The sequence below is a fragment of the Homo sapiens genome, chromosome 18 (assembly GCF_000001405.40).
Source record: "Homo sapiens chromosome 18, GRCh38.p14 Primary Assembly".
Lineage (NCBI taxonomy): Eukaryota > Metazoa > Chordata > Mammalia > Primates > Hominidae > Homo > Homo sapiens.
The window spans coordinates 68,104,372-68,112,248 of NC_000018.10; the positions used below are offsets into that span (position 1 = coordinate 68,104,372).

Sequence of the window (7,877 nt, forward strand, 5' to 3'; positions counted from 1 at the left end):
AGAGGCCAGAACTGAGTCTGAGTTCAGTTCTGTTGAAACAACAGGCAGCAGGTTTTTAACAACCAGGGTAAAGAGGGTCATGGTGTTTGCTAATTGGCTTGATAACTTGGAACAAGGTGCTCACTGAGACTGGGACATGGGAAACCACTCTTGATTGCATTTAAAAAAAAATGGCCCCCAAATTTTCAAGAAAGACATCCCTAGGTTGTAAAACTAGCAAAAGCTTTAAATAAATTACATCTCAGAGGATTAGAGAAAGGATTTAAAATTACAAGTTTTCTAAAGTAAATGCTCTAAGAAAAGGGAGTAGAGTCAGGAAGAAATCTGTCTAAAGTTTTGTCTGGCTGAGGGGTACCCTATGGCTGTCTAGATCCCCGGCCACAGATGAAATTATAAACTCAGCTGTATTAAAAAAACAGTAACTTGGCTGGGCACGGTGGCTCACACTTGTAATCCCAGCAGATTGGGAGGCCGAGGTGGGCAGATGACGAGGTCAAGAGATCGAGACCATCCTGGCCAACACAGTGAAACTCTGTCTCTACTAAAAATACAAAAATTAGCCGGGCATGGTGGTGGCCGCCTGTGGTCCCAGCTACTCGGGAGGCTGAGGCAGGAGAATGGCTGGAACCCGGGAGGCGGAGTTTGCAGAGAGCCAAGATCGTGCCACTGCACTCTAGCCTGGAGACAGAGAGAGACTTCGTCTGAAAACAAAACAAAACAAACAAAAAAACAAACAAAAACAGTAACTTGAATGTATTGCCTTATAGCACTTTTCTGAACACATTTATGAACATCAAGGTCCCTCAAAACAAATTGTAAGTTTGTTTTTTTGTTTTAATAATTGTTCATCGCCTGCATGAGTAGAGATACTGAAGGGGTGGCCTGCCCCTCCACACCTGTGGGTGTTTCTAGTCGGGTGGGACGACAGACTGAGAAAAGAAAGAGACACAGAGACAAAGTATAGAGCAAGAAAAGTGGGCCCAGGGGACCAGCGCTCAGCATATGGAGGACCCACACCAGCACCTGTCTCTGAGTTCCCTCAGTATTTATTGATCATTATCTCTACCATATCAGAGAGGGGGATGTGGCAGGACAATAGGGTAATAGTGGGGAGAGGGTCAGCAGGAAAACATGTGAACAAATGTCTCTGTATCATAAACTAGGTAAAGAAAAAGGTGTTGTGCTTTCGATGTGCACATACATAAATATCTCAATGCCTTAAAGAGCAGTATTGCCTCCAGCATGTCTCACCTTCAGCCCTAAGGTGGTTTTCTCCTATCTCAGTAGATGGAATATACAATCGGGTTTTACAGGGAGACGTTCTATTGCCCAGGGACGAGCGGGAGACAGATGCCTTCCTCTTATCTCAACTGCAAAGAGGCCTTCCTCTTTCACTAATCCTCCTCAGCACAGACCCTTTACAGGTGTCGGGCTGGGGTACGGTCAGGTCTTTCCCTTCCCACGAGGCCATGTTTCAGACTATCACATGGGGAGAAACCTTGGACAATACCTGGCTTTCCTAGGCAGAGGTCCCTGCGGCCTTCCGCAGTGTTTTGTGTTCCTGGGTACTTGAGAGTAGGGAGTGGTGATGACTTTTAACAAGCATGCTGCCTTCAAGCATTTGTTTAACAAAGCACATCCTGCATAGCCTTAAATCCATTAAACCTTGAGTCCACACAGCACATGTTTTTGCGAGCACAGGGTTGGGGGTAGGGTTACAGATTAACAGCATCTCAAGGCAGAAGAATTTTTCTTAGTACAGAACAAAATGGAGTCTCTTATGTCTACTTTCTACATAGACACAGTAACAGTCTGATCTCTCTTTCTTTTCCCCACAGATACTACAAAACTCCTTCTCATGTCCTCTCACTCCAGCACTTCCATTCTCCCCACCAATGGCCCTATTTGTTTACTGCCATGTTGCTGTTGCGTTTCACAAGGTTGCTGATTTCTTCTCCAAAGATTTGTTTCCCGGGGGCCTCCCAGTGTTGTAGAACCTACAGGTTTGTAAAGTAGTCCTGTGTTTTCTTCAGCCTTTAATTTGCTGGAGTCGCATCTTTTTTTGGCTAAGCCTCACGTCACACAGCGTTGTTCCTACCCTCATGGCCAACTTCCCCCAGGAAAACAAAATCCTAATCATCTGCAGAAAAGCAAAATAGAAAACTAACTTTATCATGAACACATTCTGAACATAAAGGCACCATGGTGTGGGATTTTGAAAAAAATAAAGGTGGTTTCAGTTGATTACACTAGAAAACTACAGTCCTGAGATCTATATTTAGTCTGAATAAATTTTATACCCTGCATTGTGATTATATATATACACATATATATATACATATATATATACATATATATATACATATATATATACATATATATATGTATATATACATAAAATCATTGTATGACAATCATTGGAACTTTAATATTGTACAATGACTTCATTCCCCTTAATTATTACAATTGCTACCACTTACTGATCATTCACTTTAGGTTAAGCCCTGTTTCAAGGGATTTGCCTGCATCACGCAAGGTGTAGTGTTTATTAGGAATAAAATATTTATAGCAATCATTGGAAAGTGATACTTAACTGAAGTGAAATAACAGAATGGTAGGTTGAGAGCCAAGTAACCAGTGTGTGATTGTGGTGTTTTTCTCCATGACACAATGCTCATTTTCTCTTTTCTTGTTTTCCTATTTTCATGAAAACTTTAGAATCTTTACTCTGTTACAGAAAATTAGAACCATGGTGTATGAATCAAAATTGATGTGATTGATTGTATGTATCTGTAGAGATATATTATAGTTGTTCTCTGCTTTGCTGTGTGTATGTTCTTAAACTGACGCTTTCTTTTAAAATTTTCTCCGAACTACAGAAACATTGCAAAGATACTGCAAAAAGTCTCCACATATTGCCGTCAGATTCTGCTATTATTAAAGCCTTTCATTAGGATGGAATGTTTGTTACAATTAATGAACCAATATATTGATACATCCTTGTTAACTAAAGTCCATACTTAATTCAGAATTCCATAGTTTTCACCTAATGTTCTCCTGTTCTATGCTCCCATCTAAGAGTACACATTAATTATGTCTGCTTAGGGTCTTGTTATCTGTGAGAGTTTCTCAGGCTTTCCTTGTTTTGATGACCTTGAGAATTTTCAGGTGTTCTGGTCACATATTTTGCAGACTTTTCCTTGATTTGGTTTTACATGATTGCTTTCTCATAATTACACTGGGATTTAGGTTTTTGTAGGAAGACTTCAGTGGTAAGGTACCACTGTCATCTCATCATACCAAGAGAACATACAATCAATATGACTTATCACTGTTAATATTGACCTTGAATACCTGCCTAAGGTGTATTAGGTTTCTCTACTCAAAGATTACTTTTTCCCACTTTCTTCTTTCCATACTGTACTCTTTGAAAGGAAGCCACTGTGTGCAGTCCACAATTAAGGATTAGGGAGTTATGGTCTGCTCACTTGATGGCAGAATAGCTACATAGAGTATTTGGACTCCTGTTGCAGGAGAGTTTTGTCCATTCTGTCCCATATATTTATTTATTCAATAATTTATGTATTCAATATAGACACATAGATATTCGTTGTATACTTTGGGTTATAATGTGATACTATTTTATTTGTTTTGTTGCTCAAATTCTTTCAGCTGTGCCCACTGGGAGCTCTCTGAGTTGGCTGTCGTACCTCTCTGACACATCTCCATTGTATGTGTGTTGCTTTTGGTACTTCCATATTTTCTGACCCTGTACAATGCTTCACACTCATCTTTTTAGATCCTGTCCCAGTCTTAGAATCAGCCATTTTTAAAACAGGCCTTAGTTCTTTTATTGTAAAGTGATATTAGAAATCAAGATGTGGTCTATGAGTGTTGGTTGTTATGAAGGTGTCATTTTTTTTAGGCCCTTTTAGCAGACAGAACATGGAAATATAAGTGGTATACTATCCCATGGATAAATACAAATATATTTCCATCAGAAAATATTAATGTCTCTATTAAGCTAAACATGAGCTTATACTGATGTATCTAATTCTAACTCATTATCACATGAGTCGTTCTAACTGCCCCCTTGCTTACCTGTAAACTCACTCCAACAGTGAGAAATCTGGCTTCTAACACCTGCCATTCATTTATTCAATTCCAGTATGGATGAAGAGCAGTACCCATCAGAACTGTTAACCCACACCCGTGTAAGGGAGCAAATTTATCAACTAGAGTGTTTATGTACAATTTTTCTGTTTGCTTTTATTTTGCCTTTAGTTTTACAGACTTTGCTCATTTCTGAAGTTACTTAGGTGAGCGTTTTCTTCTCCCCAATTCCTTCAGTGATATTCTTTCATACATTTATAATGGAGTCAGATCCTTTTATACCATTCTGCAATTTATCTTAGGATTCTTGTGATCTCCTTAATGACTTTGTTCATTTGTCTATATTAGGGATCACATGTAGTGTTGAAAAGTTCAACAGATTTTGACAAATTGACAGTAGTGTCACGTATTCACAATTACAGTATAATTTAATAATTTCCCCACCCTAAAAATTTCTTATACTTCACTTACTCAAACTCTCTTACATCCTTGAACCTCTGATTTTTTTATTGTCTGTATAGATTTTCCTTTCCTAAAATGTTATATAATTGGAATGATAAAGTATGCAGCCTTTTCAGATGGGCTTCTTTCACTTAGCAATGCACATTTAAGGTTCAGACTTTTTTTTATGGCTTCATAAATCAGTTATTTTATCACTGGATAATAGTCCATTGTATGAATGTGACAGTTTTTTGATTCACCTATTGAAGGGCATCTTGGTTGCTTCCAGTTCAAGGCAATTATGTATAAAGTTGCTATACATGTTTGTTTGCAGGTTTTTGTGTGTGTAGAAGTACACTAATGGGTACAAGCAAAGGTATTATTTTTGTTGTTGAGCAAATTGTTGAGCAAATACCTAGGGGCATGATTGCTGGATCATACAGTGGGACATGCAGAGCTTTCTAAGGAGCTGCCAAGTTGTCTTTCAGGAAACTGTACATTTTGTATTCCCATAAGAATGCAGATTGGGAGTGTTTCTGTTGCTCCGCATCCTGCCTAGTGATTGGTATTGGCAGCTCTTGTTTGTTCGTTTGTTTTGTTGTTTTGTTTTTTGGATTTTAGCCTTTCTAGTTGATGTGTGGCAGTGTCTCATTATTGTTTCATTTTATAATATCCTAAGTATAATTATATTGAATGTGTTTTCATATGTTTATTTGAAATCTACATTTTTTCAGTTAAGTGTTTTCTTATAACTTCTGTCCATTTTAAAAATGAGTTGCTTTTTTTTCTTATTAATGAGTTTTAAGAGTTTTTATATATTTTAGAAACATGTCTGTTCTTAAATATGTGATTTGCAAATATTTTCTACCAATAGATGTATTGTCTTTTCATTTTCTTATTTCAAAACTATGTCTTTCGGAAAGCAGATGTCTTTAATTAAAATAAAGTTCAAATTATCATTTAAATTTATTTTTCTTTTTTGGATCATGCTTTGGTGTTATATCTAAAAACTGATAGCTGAACCCAAGGTCATCTAGATTTTGCCTATATTTTCTTTCAGAAGTTTTATTATTTTGTAGTTTACATGTAGACCTACACTCTATTTAAAGTTAATATTTGTGAAAAATATAGGTTCTGTATCTAGGTTCTGGATATTTGCATATGGATGTTCAGTTTTTCCAGCACCATTTGTTGAAAGGCTCTTCTTTCTCCATTGAATTGTCTTTCCTCCTTTGTCAAGCTCAGTTGACTATATTTGTGTGAGTCTATTTCTGAGCTCTGTATTCGGTTCCATTGACCTAGTTGTCTATTCTTTCAACAACATTATGCTGCCTGATGACTGTGGCTTTATGGTAATTATGTCTTAAAGTCTGATACTAAATGTCTGCATTTGGGGCCCTCCGTCCTGTTCCGTGGACCTGTGTCTCTATTTGGCCCACACTTTGCTGCTTTGAACATTGTAGCTTTATAGTTAAATACAGAAACCAGGTAGTGTGGGGTCAATGGGGAAGAGATAAGAAAGGAAAAATATTGATTGCTGAGTCAGAGAAGAGAGGGGGCCTCCACAGAGATACCTGAGTCAATTTTTAGCCAAGGGGCCACCTCATAAAGGAGCCTCTGAATGGAGGCACTTAGGCTAGAAGAGCATATCTGGGTAAGAGCATGGGGAGCCAGGGGAAGCCCATTTCCTGACTGCAACCACCTCCAGAGGTTGCAGTGCATACTGACTGTGTACAAGGTATCTTGGGAAAGAGTAGCTTCCTCATGCAGGCTGCCAGAGAAAACCTATTGTCAGGCCAGAAACACCTTATACAGGATTTGGGTTTGGAGCTGACTCCTAGTATTCTTTTTAAATCAGTTAAGAATAAGAAAAATAAAAGACTGTATTTTGCCTTCATATTTATTCTCTGAAACACTGCTTTCTCTTATGTAGATAGAGGTTTCTAAGCTATAACATTTTTCTTCTGCCAGAAAAAGTTATTTTAACATTTCTTGAAAGGCAGTCCTGCTGATAATGTATTTCCTATTTTTGTTTGCCTGAAAATATTATTTTTCATTTAATTTGAAAGATAACATGGCTTAATATAAAATTACAAGTAGATTTTTTTCTTTCAACACTTTTTAAATATTTCGCTCTATTCTCTTCTTGTTTGCATTGTTTCCGATGAGAATTATTGCTTAATTTTTATCCTTTTTCTTTTATGGATAAAGTCTTTTTTCCTTTGGCTTCTTTGAAGATTTTGTCTTTTTCTTTCATTTTAAGTGATATGTCTGCGCGTGAGTGTGTGTGTGTGCTTCTCTGTTTTCTGAATTTTTGGTTTGATGTCTGTCATTATGTCTGAAATTTCTCAGCCACTATAACGTTAATTATTTCTTTTGTTCTGTTTTGTCTGTATTCTTATTCTTGTATTGTAATGACATGTAAATTATCTCTTTTTATTTCTTCTCTCTGTCTCCTTGCCCCTTCTCTGGCTGCAATATTCTCAGTCTATTCCTTTGAACACCGTCGACCCTGTTTTGTTTTCCTTAATTTTTCTCTATGAGCTGAAACCGGAATGCTGAAAGTGATATAACTTTAATAGGAGGAATGCTCTTCCACTAACTGTGGTAAGGTTCTTGCAAAGTCTTTTTCCCTGAAAGATCAGCTCAAGGATCAAGGATCAAGGATCAAGCAACACTAGCTCAAGGATGACAGTTAGTAGGCAGATCAATTCCTCTGTGATGTAGTCCTCAACACCCCTATCAACCATATATATATATATATATATATATATATGAATATATATTCATAATTTTATATTAAAGCATTTCAAAACTTCTCTGCTATCACTCCTTAGTTGTGGTGATTTTGCAATCATCACCAAAGACAATCTCACTGTATCCCAGGGCAGTCTGAGGTAGAGAATCAGCTCTGACCTTGGCAACAAGAAGAAGCTGACAGACCATGAAAAGCCACAAAGTATTAGCTGTTGTGGTCTATTTGAGTGCCTACTTGCAAGTGTGGGCCCATATAAAATGTAATCATCACTGTTCTTCTATATTTATGCAAATCATGAAACCAGGGTTTATCTTAGAATAGAGTTCTAGTGCAAATAGATCGCCTAGAGTCAAAATACGTAGAAGATGAGTATTAAGAAGAAAGTAAATGAGCAGGTTCAATTTCCCCATAACATGAGGCTTTCATAGATTGATCTCAGAAATGAAAACTCATCTTCTGTTTTTTCATTTTTAATAACTTTGTTAAACTGTACCAAATAAACACAAATGTACATAAACCTTAAATGTAGATCTTGCTGAAATATAAAGTGTTGGGAGGCTGAGGT

The 7,877-nt window shown here is 37.2% G+C and overlaps 1 annotated feature.

Annotated features, from left to right (window-relative positions):
* Positions 1,311–1,919: an enhancer, noted in NCBI's record as "OCT4-NANOG hESC enhancer chr18:65772919-65773527 (GRCh37/hg19 assembly coordinates)". NCBI's record gives its function as "activates a minimal SCP1, AML or CMV promoter by ChIP-STARR-seq in naive H9 embryonic stem cells {active_cell/tissue: H9 hESC(naive)}" and the evidence as "EXISTENCE:reporter gene assay evidence [ECO:0000049][PMID:30033119]".